The 16,497-nt window shown below is 43.9% G+C and overlaps 1 protein-coding gene across 41 annotated transcripts in view, besides 1 other annotated feature; it reads right to left on the bottom strand.

The window, feature by feature from the left end:
- Window positions 1–16,497, bottom strand: part of FHOD3 (formin homology 2 domain containing 3) — a 482,508-nt gene that overhangs the window by 411,140 nt on the left and 54,871 nt on the right. For 40 of the 41 annotated variants that reach the window (XM_011526189.2, XM_011526190.3, XM_017026008.2 and 37 more), the window contains exon 2: window positions 13,436–13,542. In XM_011526189.2, coding sequence (XP_011524491.1) covers window positions 13,436–13,542 — 107 coding nt within the window. Of the gene's footprint in view, window positions 1–13,435; window positions 13,543–16,497 lie in introns of those variants that run through there. The other variant, XM_017026010.2, reaches the window with a different exon arrangement.
- Window positions 1,793–1,842: an enhancer, noted in NCBI's record as "active region_13236". NCBI's record gives its function as "activates an Ori minimal core promoter by ATAC-STARR-seq in GM12878 lymphoblastoid cells {active_cell/tissue: GM12878}" and the evidence as "EXISTENCE:reporter gene assay evidence [ECO:0000049][PMID:35858748]".

The raw sequence follows: 16,497 nt of genomic DNA, 5'->3' as shown, positions 1-16,497 counted from the left end.
AATAATAATAGTTGTTAACATTTATGGAATGCTTATCATGCGCCAGATGAGGTTCTAAGTACTTTTTACAGATTTAGTATTCAGAAAATTTCTATGACGTAGTGATAGGGTTAGGCTTTGTGTCCCCACCCAAATCTCATCTTGACTTGTAATCCCCAGGTGTGAGGGAGGGACCTGGTGGGGGGTGATTGGATCAGGGGGGTGGTTTCCCCCATGCTGTTCTTGTGATAGTGAGTTCTCATAAGATCTGATGGTTTTATAAGGGGCTCTTCCCACTTTGCTTTCTCACTCACTCTCACCTGCCACCTGTAAGATGTGCCTTTGCTTCTCCTTCACCTTCTGCCATGATTCTAAGTTTCCTGAGGCCTCCCCAGCCATGCAGAACTGTGAGTCAATTAAACCTCTTTCCTTTATAAATTACCCAGTCTCAGGTATGTCTTTATAGCAGTGTGAAAATGGACAAATACAGGTAGATAACATTATTGACATTCTAAAGATAAGGAAATCAAGGCCCAGAAAAGTTAAGCAATGGAGCTGAAGTCACACAGCTAGAAAGCGACAGAGCTCAGACTCAACCCAGGCAGTCTGACCCTAGAGTCAGTGCCCCTAACATCTCCACAGAGCTGCCCCCCAGATGTGTGCTCCTCTCATTCATTCCCTCATTCTACTGGTGCCAATATCAGGCAGAAAAGGATGCTAAGCTGCTTACAGTGAATTCACATGGACAACCTCTCAAGATTTGCATCTTTAGACTATTATTTTCTGAACTCATACATACGTATGAGATGTACTCTATGAGATGCACAAAGTATATGGAGCTTTAAGACAGGAATATAGAAATCCTACCTGCATTTCCAGCCTGCTAGCCTGCCCTGAAGATTTCAGATTTGCCAGTCCCCACAACTGCCTGAGCCAATTCCTTAAAAATAAATATTTCTAGATAGATAGATTACATAGATGAGAGAGAGAGAGAGAGAGAATAGGAGCTGGTCCGTTTTCACACTGCTCTAAAGAACTGCCTGAGACTGGCTAATTTATAAGGAAAGAGGTTCAGTTGACTCACAGTTCCACATGGCTGGGGAGGCTCAGGAAATTCACCATCATGGTGGAAGGTAAAGGGAAAGCAGCACCTTCTTCACAAGGTGGCTGGGGAGAAAGCGGTGGGGAGGGATGGGGGGGTGACTGCCAAACACTTTTAAAGCCTAAGATCTCATGAGAATTCACTCACTATCATGAGAACAGCATGGGGGAAACTGCCCCCATGATTCAATCACCTCCCACCAGGTCCCTCCCTCCACACCTGACGATCACAATTTGAGACAAGGTTTGGTTGGGGACACAGAGCCAATCCATATCAGATAGATAGATATTCTCTTGGTTCTGTGTCTCTGGAGAACCCTGACTAATACAAAATTTGATATCTGCCTTCATAGGGCTTCCACATACCAAAGAGAGGCTGTCAGTATGTATTTACTGTAAGCACCTTAGCCATCCTTTTCTCCCTGATACCAGCATTCTGGGTTAGTTTTGCAGCTGCCACTCCTTTTGAGTCTGTGTTTTTGCAGCAAGATGAAGTGGAATGCGCCAAGTACCCAGAATCCAGTGACCCAGAAGGCAACGCGGCTCAGCTTGACCTTAATCTCCCCAGGGAGACTCGGATTCCTTTCCTATCAGCACAGCCACTGCCAGGGACACATCACCAGCTTCTGAACAGCCACTCTTTGGAGCAGGCAGCCACAACCAATGGGCTGCTCACAACCAAGGCCAAGGCCAAGGCTACCCAAGTGCCAAGGGGACTATCTAAAATAGATAAGCAACTCAAGGAAACCCCTATGGAGGCACACGCACCAGGGACACAACGGCACTACCGCTAAAAGAACTTTCTGAAACATCCTGCCTTCTCAGAATACACAGACTTCTGTTACAGTAATATCAGTGGCCTTGGGAAAAGTCTGGTTTAACCAACTAAGGTTCACAGAAACCTGCATGTTTCAGTTCTGACCCTGTGTCTCAAGGGAGCCTTTTTACAAGAGTAACATATAAAGCCCTTTGTGACTATAAGAACAAGTGCTTACATTATTTAATTGAGTGGTATAGAGACAGAAGCTTGATGACTTTCTCCAGCAACCAACAGTGAAATCAATGCTCCCAAGTACTCCTCCACTTAAATTAGAAGAAATAAACTATAGTTTCAGTCAAGGATAGAAACAGATGTTTCACCATCTGGCAAAAGTAGGGACAAGGGCCCCCTCAACAGTTGCCCCAGGAGTAAAAAGCTCTTAGTAAGCTTCTGGAGCTGTGGGGCTCAACTGGCACTCCATCTCAGGGATAAAGAGATGGAGGAGGATTTGAACCAGTCATCAGCTAGTAAAAGGACAGTGCTAGCTAAGATTAACTTGCCCAGAAGCTCAAAGTTTAAGCAAGAGAGGCAGTTGCCACTACATTAATCTCCGGGTGTGTTCTCTTCTCCCCTGGCAGACTGTAGAGGTAGAAAAACATCGACTCTGAAGCCAGCTGTGTGATCTTGGACAAGTTACTTAACCTCTCTGAGCCTTGGCTTTATTGTCTGTAAAATAAGATAATGTCTACCTTCTCCTGAGGGTGTGAGAATTCAATCAATCAATGCAAGTAACATGCTGTGGACATGGCTGGCATGTGATAAATGCTGAATAATGTTAGGTAATACCCTTGTTGATATTACTGTTCTTTCAGCCACTTTCTCTCCCTCGTTCCATTTGTCTTAATGTCTGAATATTCTCACTTTCTGTATGTCTCTTGCTTCATTTTTGTCTGCCTCTTCTCATTCCTCCCACCTCTCTCCTCATCATACCTTTTTCTCGTTCTCTCTTCACTGCCCATTCAAGAATCGACAATAATAATCCATTTGTTACTATTTGATGCTTTTTCCTGTTCTTCATTAAAGTTCCCATGATGTAGCATTTTAATTTTCTCAAGGGACTATACTAATGTCTGTGCCTCCTGTGTGTGCAACTCTAAGTGCGTCAGCCTCTGAGGAATGAGTCATCTACTTTAACTGGAAGGTGTGAGGAGTCCGAGACACACAGGGGACCCAGGTGGAAGCACCCTGGGCAACATGTGCTACAACCAAAGTGTGAAGTTTGTGCACTTGGGGAAAAGGGACCTACCAAAACAGGTCAACTCTCTAGATACCTTCTCAGAGAGGCCAGTCTGGTTCTCTCATCTTCCAGTTTCCTTCACCCTCACTTCAACAAGACATGAGGCAGACGGAATGAACTTTCTCAGTCAACTTCCGCTCAGCTAGTGTCCTCTCATCACAGAAGCTGGAATTTCTCCCCACACCTAGCCCGGCCGTCACCAGCTCAGTGTCTCTCTTCCATAGTCATTCCCTTACACGTTTTTTGTAAGCTTTAATGAGGTATAATTTAGGTACCATAAAACCCACCTGTTTTATGGATATAATCCACTGATTATTAGTATCTTCATAGAGTTATACAGTCATTACAATCTAACTTTTTTAACTTTTTCATCAATGCAAAAACACCCCCAAACCTTCATACCCATCTGCAATCGCTCTGTGTCCCCACACTCAGCAAGAGGCAACCACCAATCTACTCTGTCCCTCTAGAGATGTGTCTTTTCTGGCCATCTCATACAAATGAAATTAAACAGTACTTCACCTTTTGTGTCTGGCTTCTTTCACATGGCCTGTCTTCCAGGTCATCAGATATCAGATATATGATTTACAAACATTTTCTCCCATTCTGTGGCTTGTGTTTTCACTTTACCAATTATGTCTTTTGGGGATGCAAAAGGCTTTAATTTTTATGAAGTCCAAACTATTTTTTTCTCTTGTCACTTATGCTTTTGTCATATCTAAGACATGGAAAGCACATGTGGCAAGAACCATGACTGCCTAACCCAGTCATGGAGACTTGCTCCTGTTTTCCTCTGGGAGTTTCATTGTTTTGGCCCTTACACTTAGGACTATGGTCTGTTTTCAGTTCATCTTTGTGTCTGGTATGAGGTCCTTGACATCTTGATTAGCTCATTCTCTTGTCTTCCACCCTCACGTACCCTGTGATGGGACACAGCCCTTGTTCAAGCTGTTCACAGATTTCAGCTCCTGGGAAATCCTGCTGGCTCTCTTCACAGCCCCCAGTCTCTCCTTGCCAGCCTCTGCCCCCACCACCCTTCTGCTTTCTCCCCCTTCAGACACCCTAAATCTCCTGCTCACCACTCCCAGCCTTGCCTTGCTCCTCTCACAACTTGCCTTTGTGGCACAGTGTCCTCAACCGCCCATTCTTTGAAATGTCCTCTCTTCTTGCGGAGGCAGATGCTGCTGGTTACCCACTCAATACCCATTTCCCTTTCTGCCTTATAATGGGAATCCAATTGTGTTTGGAGTGACAATGTATATTCCACAATGTGGCACTCTACAATGTGGCACAGTTCTCATCAGTGAACTATAGATGGAAGTCACTGGTGGAGCTTCTGGAAAGCTCTTTAAAAGCAGCACACCCAGCCAGCACCAATACTGCTCTTCACTCTCCTCAACTAAGGCAGGGACCACTGGCTGTCACCTAATATTCATAGTGATAGCAGGAGAAGGTTAGCTGGATACAGCCCACTATTCACTGTGCCCTCGAGCGTCTGGCCAAAATCATATGAGTGAAAGCTATGTGCACACAGAAATGGGCGTGCACTCCCTTCGTCCCTTTCCTTCTTTCTAGGGGCTGAGATACAGATGAGATGGTAAGAGTGGAAGGAGCCACCTAGACCCAGAGATGGAATCCTTGCGGTCAGGATGCTATAGCTATTTTACAGTTCCAAAGAGGATTGCCTATATTTGGAATCTTATACAAGAAAAAAACTTTTATTTTATTTAAACTGCCACATTGGGAGATTTCTTGGTTGCAACAGAGAAGACTGCATCCTAACCAATACATGCCTCCCTGTCTTGATATGACAAGGGTGTGGGGCAGCTGCATTGTAACTATGATGAAACACGAAAGACAAAAGCCAGATCCTAAGGATGGTAGGGCATAAAGATAAAACAAGCCCAGGTTCCTAAGAGTATCATGGAATCAACATATTGTACTTGAAACTGTATAATTATCCACTGATTTTCTTAGAGTGGCTTTTGTTTTATAGAAAAATTTCATAGAAAGTAGAGCATGTTCTCATATATCCACACTGCCCCTCCCCACCCACCCATTTCTCCTATTAACATCTTGCATTAGTGTGCAAGATGTTAATCTGTTACAACAGATTAACTGATATTGACACATTATTAACAAGTCCATAGTTTTACTTTATAATTCACTGTGTTGAACAGTTCTATGAGTTCTCACAAATACATAACGTTCTGGATCCAACATTACAATAAAATACAGAGCAGTGACACTGCCCTAAAGATCCCCTGTGCTCCACCTGTTCATCCCTCCCTACCCATCTCCCAATCTCAACTCCCACTCCGGCAACAGATCTTTTCACTGTCTCCATAGCTTTTTGCCTTTCTCGGAATGTCATAATTTGGACTCACAGTATGTAGCTTTTTCAGACTGGTTTAACTTCACAATGTGCATTTAAGGTTCCCCCATGTCTTTTCTAGCTTGATCACTCATTTCTTTTTATTGCTAAATAAAAAATATTTCATGGTATGGACAAATACTATGGTTTGTTTACCCATTCAACTACAGAAGGACATCTTGTTTCCAAATTTTGGCAATTATGAAAAAAGCTGCTGTGAAAATACGTGCAGGCTTTTCCATGGACATAAGTTTTCAACTCATTTGGGTAAATACCCAGAAGCACGATTGCCAAATTGTATGGTAAGCCTACATTTAGCTTTGTAAGAAACTACCAGACTGTCTTCCAAAGTGGCCGTGTCATTTTGCATTCCCACCAGCAATGAATGAGTGTTCCTGTTGCTCCACATCTTTGCCAGCATTTGATGATATCCGTGTTTTTTTATTTTAGCCATTCTAAGGGGTGTGTAGTGGTATCTCATTTTTTTAAATGTACATTTTACATTATATTGACATGTAATGTTGGATATCTTTCTATATGCTTATTTACCATCTGAATGTCTTCTTTAGTGACATATCTGTTCAGATCTTTTGCCCATTTTTTAATCAGGTTGTTTTCTTATTAAATTTTAAGAGTGCTTTGTATATTTTGGATACTTGTACTCCATCAGATACGTTTTGCAAATATTTTCTCCCAGTCTGTGGCTTGTCTTTTCATTGTCTTAATATCCACTTTTTTTCCATGATAAAAATATAGTCAAAAATTTTAAGCCACTGTTATCTGGGTTCTTTGCCACATGCAGCTAAACCTGAGTCTCTTACTGATGGACAACACCTGGGTTATGGTTTCAATGGATCATCTGGGTGCTGCCACCTGGGTGACTGCTAACTTTCATTTTCCCTACAGCCAGGGACTGGTCCTCTCCTCACCTGCATCCTATGGCTGGCCCTCCAGGACACGACCTCCAGACTCTGTAGCTCCCTCCAAGGAATCACCCCTAGCCTCTCCAGTATTCCAGCCTTCTCACCTGGGTCCCCAGCCAACATTTCTCACTAGCCACCCCACACCTTGTGTGTGGCTTGCCATAACCTCAGACTAACAGGTATAAACCCCTCCTCCCCTTTTCAAAATTGCCTCCACTGTATCACCTCACTATTTCCCTAACTAGTCCACCATTCTGTGCACTATTCCCCTAATGCCACATGTCCATTCCATTCTCTTGTGTCCCTCTACACGAGCTGGCACCATGGCTCCAGATTCCCAGCCCCCTCCCTCCCCAACCCTGGGTGAGGCCCCAATCCACTCACCTTCCTCGGCTACCAGGTTTAGGTTCATTAGGCCACTCCCTGCTTGTCCCCCCAGGGGGTTACATCTGATCAAGGCCTCCCACTCCAAGTTCTTCCCACTCACCCCCACATAGCCCCCTCATCACTTAAGGAGTTCTGTGGGGGCTCTCTTTGCAGGTCATTTTTCTTCTGTCTGACTCCAACCCACATACCTACCTGATGTCATCTTTACCCTCATACATCCTTGCATTTAAAGGCATTTAGAACCTTTGATTCCAGTGTCCATTCAGCATGGGAGTTACTTCATTCTTGCCTGACTTACTGCAGCCTTTTCAGGAATGCCGTCTTTCTCACGCAGTGGTTCTCAACTTTGACTGCACACTGAAATCACCTGGAAGCTTTGAAAATCACCTCTGCCTGGGCCCACCCCTGAGTTCTGATTTCATGAGCCTGAGGCTGGGCGTGGCAGGGAAGGTTCTAAAGTTCTTCAGGGGGTGGCAATATTCTCCAAGACTGAGAGCCTACGCTGCAGGTTCCCAAACAAACATCTAACCACCTGGACAGCATTTTTCTTTTTTTTTCTTTTTTTTTTTTTTTTGAGACGGAGTCTTGCTGTGTCAGCCAGGCTGGAGTACAGTTGCGTGATCTAGGCTCACTGCAACCTCTACCTCCTGGGTTCAAGCAATTCTCCTGCCTCAGCCTCCCGAGTAGCTGGGACTACAAGCACGTGCCACCACGCCCAGCTAATTTTTTGTATTTTTAGTAGAGACAGCGTTTCCCATGTTGGCCAGGCTGGTAGCGAACTCCTAACCTCAAGTAATCCACCCACCTTGGCCTCCCAAAGTGCTGGGATTACAAGCGTGAGCCACCATGCCCAGCCTGGACAGCTTTTTTTAAAAAAGCAAGATTCTGAACCTCACTCCAAACCTTCTGAAGCCAGAACCTAGAGATCAGCAGTTCTGGCACCTGGAACTGGTGTGCAGGGCCTCTGGGCTACCCACTCAACCCAGCTGAACTCACCCCTAATGGCTCCTTTGGTTTTAAAGGGCCAGTTTTCTCCCCCACTGAGAGCAGGGGCAGAACTTGATGGCCTCCACTTTGAGCCTTGCATAGCACTATGAAGACAGGAGCTTGAACCTGTCACTGATTAGCCACAAGGCTTCAGCCAACACACCTGCACCCTCCACTCAGGATAACTACCTTAAGAGGAAAAAAAAAATCAGGGAACGTCTACCTTTCTTCCCTTCTGCACCCTCATCAGAATCTCTCTCTTAACATGGGGGTTTCGTTGGTTTCTTGTTTCGGTTTGGTTTTTTAGGTTCAGTAGATTTTTAGACTTATGTTCAAAATCTATTCTGTGATTTCCCATTCCACCAGTCTAAAATGCAGAGGAAACCTGGACAAATGTGTGAATGGGTGAGGTTAATTTTTGTATTATATCATAAGAAGAAGAAATTGCTTTCATTCCTTCAAACCTGATATTTTGAGAGGCAAAGACCTCTTTGAGAATCCAATGAAGGCTTTGAAATACCTCCCCACCAAAATCCCACAAACCCACAAACTGTACAGAAACCTCAGAGGTTCATGGGCCTCAGGGCCCATGATCTGCAGGCTGAGAAGTGAGGTGTCCAAGAATAACAGCAGAGCCAGTCCCAAATCCCCAGGTTCCCCTAAACAGGTCCAGCACAAAGCTGGCAGGACCCATGTACCCCTGCAGATGGGACTCTGCATGGCCCTTCTTAACCTTTCCCAGATGCACATCCAGCCATGATTTCTAAGCCACCAGCCTCACATAGACACATGGGCCCAGGGTTGGAGGACTACCAGCCCCCTTGGCAAATGAGAGAAAGTGAACAGCATGACACAGCCAGTAAGCAGCAGCTATCTTCACAGCCAACCCTGTGGCACAGGCCTGAAGGGAGTCATGCCAAGGAAAAGGTGAACGCCCCAAGTTACCTGAAGTTAGGAGCACCTGTGAATGTGTATGCCATGTCCAGCCACCACACTGGTCCTCATGATGTCCCTGAAACATCATGGTTCTCAGGTCCACTCTTGGCTCAAGCCACACTCCCACCTGGCTGCACCTTCCAAATACCCAAAGCCACCATATCCTCCAGGGCTTGCCTAAAAGCCCACCTTCTCCATGACAGTGCCCTGTGGACCCAGGCTGGCATTGGTTTCCTTTCAGAGACACTGAGGGTAGCAACAGGCAAAAGAGTGGAGGTTCTGGCCCAGCTCAGCCCTGTGGGCAAACCTCCATCGAGGTCTCTTAACTAAAAGTTGAGATCTCAGGGCACCTGACCTGCATAGAATCCTCTGGGTCTAAATTCCAGTGGTTCCCATTTCAATGTATCATCTTTCCAGAATTGGACTGTAATTATAACAGAGGCTAACAGTTTTGAGTGTGTATTATGTATCAGGAACTAGTTAACGTTTTAGATACATTATCATATTTTACTTCGAAACAACCCAAAGAGGCAGTATTATGATAATATTGCCCCCAATTATAAGGAAACTGAGGTTCAGAGAGGTGAAGTTACATCCCCAGGGTCAAACAGCCATGAGACTAATGGTAAAGCCTGTGTCCCTAACCATTATGCTACACTGCTCTCCTCAGGTGCCAGAGACCCCATCAGGACCCCTCTTCATACAGGAAGATAAATGGGATTGGGCCATATTTTCCTTATTCTGTAAATAAATGTTACAAGTGTCCTCATTTTATGAACTCCTATCAGAGGTAAAGTGGCTTGCCCAAGGCCACACAATGACAACGTCAGGAAAAATAACCTGTAGGCTGCAGGCTTCTCTGTCTGCTGCACCAGGTCATGCTTGCTAATTTCCCTGGCCTCAGAAGGTGATGAACAGACCTGGCTCTATTTTCTTAGCATAATAATTGCTTTGTCCTTCTACTTTTGAAGGTCTTTCTCCTCTTCTCTGACTAGCTAGAGCCTGAGTGATAATTCTAAACAAGAAGTTAATTTTTAGTCTTGGCATAAAAGTGCAGGGTAATGGACAAGAACAAAGAAGCAAAATCCTCCAGCAAGGAAACTCAGAACACATGGTATGAAAAACATCACAATTTTCACACAGACTCATACATCTTCATTAGATGGCCACAATATTAGCAGACATTTTGCTATAACTGACACAAAGAAATCAAGAGAAAAAAATGGTATTTGCCATTTTCATACCTCCAAAGGGCAAATCTTAACTGGGAAGCAATTATATTTTAACTCCCACTCATGGGAGACACACAGACTTTGTCAAATGCCACACATCTAGGAGAGAACCTAAAAAGTCTATTTCAAAGATACAAACCCTCACTCTAGGGTGATTTGGGGGCACACTTGTCAAATGTGTAGCTATGCATGCCTATAATTCCAACACTTTGAGAGGCTAAGACAGGAGGATTGTTTTGAGTCCAGGAGTTCCAGACCAGCCTGGGCAACATAAGGAGACCCCGTCTCTACAAAAAAATACAAAAATTAGCCAGAGCAGGAGAATCATTTGAGCCTGAGAGATGGAGGCTATAGTGAGCTGTGATTGCACCACTGCACTCCAGCCTGGGTGACAAAGAAAGACCCTATCAAAAATAATTAAAAATTTAAATTTTTCTAAAAAAAATTTTAAATGTGTAGCTATTCAATATCTTTTGGGCTACCTTCCTCTGTAGTTTCCCAAGTCTTGAGTCCCACCTTCTCATCTTGCCATAATTCATTTTCCCAGCAACCCTAGCTACTAGAGTATAGAAATGGGATTCAACCTCTACCTATTGGATGGACTCATGGCCAAGTGATGATTCAGAAGGGAACAAAGTGAGAATACAAGAACCAGGATCTACTCTGGGGAGTTTATAGCAGGATGCCCTGGCTCTTTGGGAACAGCTGTGGAGGAAGTGCCAGCATCTGGAGACAGGTGTCGCCCAGGTGAACTGTAGTGTCAGTGATGGATGATGGCAGCAAAGCTGTTTCAACTGGAGACAGTGTTTTAGACCAGGACCAATTGTCCTTGCAGGAACCAACCTCATGCCACCAAAGGTGCCAATGTACATGCTGCATAGAACCTAAAGTACCTTTGCCCAGAAGCCCCTGGGATGGCAGAAGAGCACAGTCTTGGGAATTGGTCACATCTGTGTTCAAACTTGGCTTTGCCACCCCAGACATGTAATTTAACTTCTGACCCTTGGTTGTCTCAGATGAAAAATTGAGACAATAAAATCCAATTACATGACTAGTATGATAATTAATTATTAAAGATCTTGTGAATAGGGAGCCTAATATAGTACCTGGCACAGTAGCTGATCCAAAAATATTATTCTTCTCCCACACCCTTTATTCTTATTGCTTTTATCAATATATTAGCACTTTTTTTCTGAGCTGTCATCTCCAAATCATTCAAGTTTTGATAAGAAAGAAGAAAACAAAAACGAGGACAAGGTCCTCAAGCACAACACCACTAGAGACATTTTTCAAGCTGACAATGATCTACTCATAACATTCCCGGGGTCTGTTTGATCAATGAGCCATGAAGTCATCCAATTAGACTATCATCTAGCCTGCATTCTGACAACTTATATGAAAGGATGTCACTGTCAAATACTTGATAAAAACTATTGCAATGGAACATCCCCAAGTCTATCAGCCTAATAGTGTTAATTTTAAAAATAGCAATAAGTAGAATCTGGTGTGACTTAAGATACCACTCCCATATGCACAGCCTAGAGTGGTTTCCAGGATCCTTTCTCACATACTATTGGTGTGCCCTTACTACCACTCTGGAGACAAGAAGGGTATCCTCAGAGCATCTTGCTGAATCTTAACAAGGACCTTGGTCTTCTTGGTGCGCATGGCCATGCTATTCAGGAATCCATTCTGGCAATGCGCCATTCACCTGGACACTAGTATTCGCTAAGTGCCTGAAACATGCTGAGAAAATGCCAAATCCTGGACATTCAGACAGGCATGGTTCTGACCTAGTAAAGTGTTAGCCGCAGAGAAGAGGTGCAACTAGCAGCACAATCAATGATCATAAATTGTGAAGGGTGTTAAAACAGGGGAAACCCAGGAAGCCATCAGTACATACTGAAGTCAAATAGCTATATGAAACTAAGAAGGTTCCAATTTTTCTCCATTAATTGAGCTATTCATGAAAAATGAGAATTCCCAGATAGTATTCAGTGGACCATATTTTTAACTCGGGCAAAGTGGTTTCAAACAACTTTTGGGGGCTCCTGGACAACAGATTAAGATAGCTGAGCATTATTTGGAAAGTATCAGGGAAACTCTTAAGTTTCCTGAAGAGGAGGGTGATGAAATCAGAGATATACTTAGTTCGAGATGGATAAGAAGTAGGCTGGGTATGGTGACTCACGCCTGTAATCCCAGCACTTAGGGAGGCTGAGGGTGAATTGCTTGAGTTCAGCAGTTCAAGACCAGCCTGGGCAACATGACAAAACCCCATCTCTACTAAAAAATACAAAAATTAGCAGGGCGTGGTGGCACACGCCTGTAGTCCCAGCTACTCGGGAGTCTGAGGCAGGAGAATTGCTGGAACCTGGGAGACAGAGGTTGCAGTGAGCCGAGATCACACCACTACACTCCAGCCTGGGTGACAGAGCGAGATTCCGTCTCAAAAATAACATATATATATATATAAAATTAGCTGGGCACAGTGGCACATGTCTGTAGTCCCAGCTACTCGAGAGGCTGCAGTGAGCCGAGATCACGCCACTGCACTCCAGCCTGGGCAACTGGAGTGAGACTCTGTCTCAAAAAATAAATAAATAAATAAAAATCAGAAGGAAAAAGGTGGGGCCCCATCAGGGGCTATTTCAGTAATCTAATAAATATAAGAATGGCTGCTGATATGGGTATATTCCTAGAGAGGTTTCACTTTCTGTGCACATCTCTGATTTTTTATGTGCATATTACTTTATTCAGACTCACAGTATTTCTTTATTCAGCAAAAGTATTAAGCAATTCTAGGTATAGGCAAAAAGTAAGTTGACATTAACATAATTAATAATTATTTTTTCCACAGTAATGAGTTTAAAAGATGATACCGTATAAAACTATCTACTATAGCATCTGCTAAGAAACTATCCAGTAAATTATCATTGAATACAATATCTAAAATAGTTGCAAATCCACTAAAATCTGGAAAATATCCATTTATTTATTCACTTTTAGAGACAAGGTCTTGCCCTTTTATCCAAGCTGGAGTGCAGTGGCACAATCATGACTTACTGCAGCCTCGGCCTCCCAGACTCAAGCGATCCTCCCACCTCAGCCTCCCGAGTAGCTGGGACTACAGGTGTGAGCCACCACAGCTGGCTGGAAAATATCGATTTAATTGTGACATATGATTTTAAAATAACTTAGCATATAAATACCATGTGCTTGATTACCACAAATGTTCCTAGGAAAGGCTACTCCCGAGCACCCATCAAGAAAAGTTACTCAAAATGGAAACGGGTCTGCAGTCACCACTGATGAGTCACTTGCATCTCCCTCGTGTGTGATTGAGAATTAAGAGAAGGTCAAAGCCATGGTAGTTCCTCCTAAATACTTTAAGGCCTCAATGTACCCCCATTTCCTGGTAGGTGGGGACCAGTCAGCAGGGTGAACAGTTGCTCTTACCCGGCGTCATCCTGGAAGCCTTCCAACTCATCCCGCTGCTCTGCCAGGGTGGCCTCCAAATCCAGGTAGGCGCCATTGTGAGAGAGCTGCAGAGTACAGTCATCCAGCTGCAAGAGAAAGAGCCTGTTATACCCAACCTGCTCCTCAGATGGAGACTACATATGGAGAAATCACATCATGTTGCCCTCCTGTGTTTTGTAAAATCAAGCAATGTTCTGAAATGTGGATCATAACTTGAAGAGCTAGTATGTTAGTGCAAATAGATCGGGAACAATCTGTGTACCAAGTGGATGGATGAGGCATCTCTTAACAGAGTGACATCGACAGCATCCTCTGGGCCCTAAGCCACTGAAGGAGCCCTTTGGGCACTGGGCCAGCGCTTTTTTCCACTCTCAGGGGCACAGATGAGACCTGGCATTTCAAGAGTGGAAATCGAGATCACGATGCTGCTGTGACCATGGATTGAGTCACAGGGCTTAAAAGGCAAATTTGGTGGGGAAAATATGCTGTTTCCTTTGATTCAGTGAGGAGCCTACTGATTCAGATTCTATGGTCATACTCTGCACATTACAAATAATGTTGCTCAATAAAGTATTTTTACAATTGAACTGAAACATCCTCCAACTGAATGGCAATATACCCAAATTACAACATAGCACACAGGAAATTAAGTCTCTCTTGCTCTGTCACCCAGGCTGGAGTGCAGTTGCTCGATCTCAGCTCACTGCAACCTCCACCTCCCGGGTTCAAGTGATTCTCCTGCCCCAGCCTCCCGAGTAGCTGGGATTATAGGCATGCACACTGATCTCATTTTTAAAAATTTTTATTTTTTTTTTTTTGGCGACAGAGTCTCGCTCTGTCACCCAGGCTAGAGTGCAGTGGCATGATCTCGGCTCACTGCAACCTCTGCCTCCCGGGTTCAAGCAATTCTTCTGCCTCAGCTTCCCAAGTAGCTGGGATTACAGGCACCCACCACCATGCCTAGCCAATTTTGTTTTGTATTTTTAGTAGAGATGGGGTTTTGCCATTTTGGCCAGCCTGGTCTCGAACTCCTGACCTCAGGTGATCCACCCGCCTCGGCCTCCCAAAGTGCTGGAATTACAGGCGTGAGCCACCACACCCAGCCAAAAATTTTGTTTAACAAACATTTATATGTTGTTCATTATATTCTGGGCACTGTTCTAAACATTTGTACATGGGAAGTCAGTTGATTCTCTCACAAACTCTGTAAAATGAGTCCTCTGTAAAATGAGGACTCTGTAAAATGAGTCCTCCTCATTTTACAGATGAGGACTGTGAGGCACAAAGAGAGGCTATGTTACTTGCCCAATTCACCGTCTAGTAAATGGTGGAGCTGGAATTTGGATACCAGCAGTTTGATTTGAGGACATGGTCTCAACCACTACACTCTGCATCCTCTCTACAGCCCAAGACACACACAGAACTTGAAAATTTTGTCACGGTGCAAAATGCAGCTTGTATCAACTGAGTGTTCTGGTGTGACTGAGCAAATGTGTTTGCCAACACCATTCCCTTTTCTCCCCAGGCACACAGTCTTGCCTTAGAGTTGGGCTCTGGCTGCATAACTGAGTATTGATCAGCAGAATGTGGGTGAAAGTGAAGAAGGCCCCCAACAGGCTTGGCCATAACACCTCTGCACAACTGTCCACTTTTCTTTTCTTGCCTATGGCCAGATGCAGAGGAGCCAGAGGAGACCTTGAAACCTAGAAAAAAGCAGAGCCCCAAATGCAAGGAGCTTGGGTTCCTGAGTCACTGCATGGAAGAGAGCACTTTGCTGCCCAGATCCACTGACCCATCCTGGACTGTGACAGCATCAAGAAACGAGCCTTTGCTGTGCTAACTCATTAAGGTTTTGTGGTTGCTACAGGTAGCAGTTAGCATTATATTACATATAGAATGATTACTCTTAAAATAGAGAAAAATAATTTTACCAAAGAAGATTGAGATTAATATTATGAGGAAATCTAAACTTATACCCTCATGCTTGATTTCTTGAGCTGTAAGAGTGACTCAATTCATCTTCTTGCTGAGTTAGGCTATTATTCCAAAATGAAAGCTAGGGGAAAAGTGGAGACAAATATGTGGTTACTTTAAAACATCTAGATGAATGCTTGATAATCTGCTATAAGTGAGATTTCAAATAAGGGATTAGTTTTTGTTTTGATAGGAAAGTTTTGCTATTATCCTCAACAAGAGAAATGCAAACTGTCATCTTGTTTAGAAGCAGCATCTATAACAGGCTGTTAATTCTTGTTAGAAACCCCACAGTTCCTTGTTTCTGGTTATCCACAACAGAATGAAAGGAATTTCTTCTTTATTACTTGTGAGAAATACCTAGTTAAGTCATTTGAAGGGGTTAATCCTATTTGATTCACTTGTTTTATTTCTCTAATAGCAGACCATACCTCATAATTACTAAAGGCTTGATGGTGAATTTCAGCATTCTTGAGCAGCATCCTATAGATGGATCATCTGATTTGAGAAAGCATTTACTACAAACTGGCCAACCTGTCTGTACTGTAGTGTCAAAGGTGTGCCCAGGGTTTTGGGGAAACACACAGGAGCTGCCTCCCCTACTCTATGGAAGCAGCAGGCAGGAAGAGTTCCTGCAGAAGGTGTCTCCTGAGCCAACCATCACCAGTGGACTGAAATCAGACTTTATCTTTCCAGGTGGAAAATTCCAATGGAAATTGGACCTGTTGACACGTACAGTGGACCATGTGTCTGGTTGTAATCATTGGCAGCTCATTCTTGCTTTAATTTCTACTGCTGTTATTAACTAAGAAAGCTGATTTAGTGTGTTCAGCTGATAGTATCAACACTTTGCCTATTTTTAATCCCACATATAATCAACAGACTGAAAGATGGAATGACAAAACCTCTTTAAGCCATCACAATGTCCTTTTCCTCAACCCCTGGAAACACATGAGCCTAAAGAGAGAAGCACTGGGATAAGGAGTTTCTACTTCTCCTCAAGGAGGTCTGAGTCATTCAGAGCCTGTGATCCACACTCAGCCAGAGGGAGAGAACGAAGAGCAAGT

This window comes from Homo sapiens, chromosome 18, assembly GCF_000001405.40.
Source record: "Homo sapiens chromosome 18, GRCh38.p14 Primary Assembly".
Taxonomy (NCBI): Eukaryota; Metazoa; Chordata; class Mammalia; order Primates; family Hominidae; genus Homo; species Homo sapiens.
Note: the sequence above shows the minus strand (reverse complement) of the source record. Positions and strands in the feature narration are given on the sequence as shown.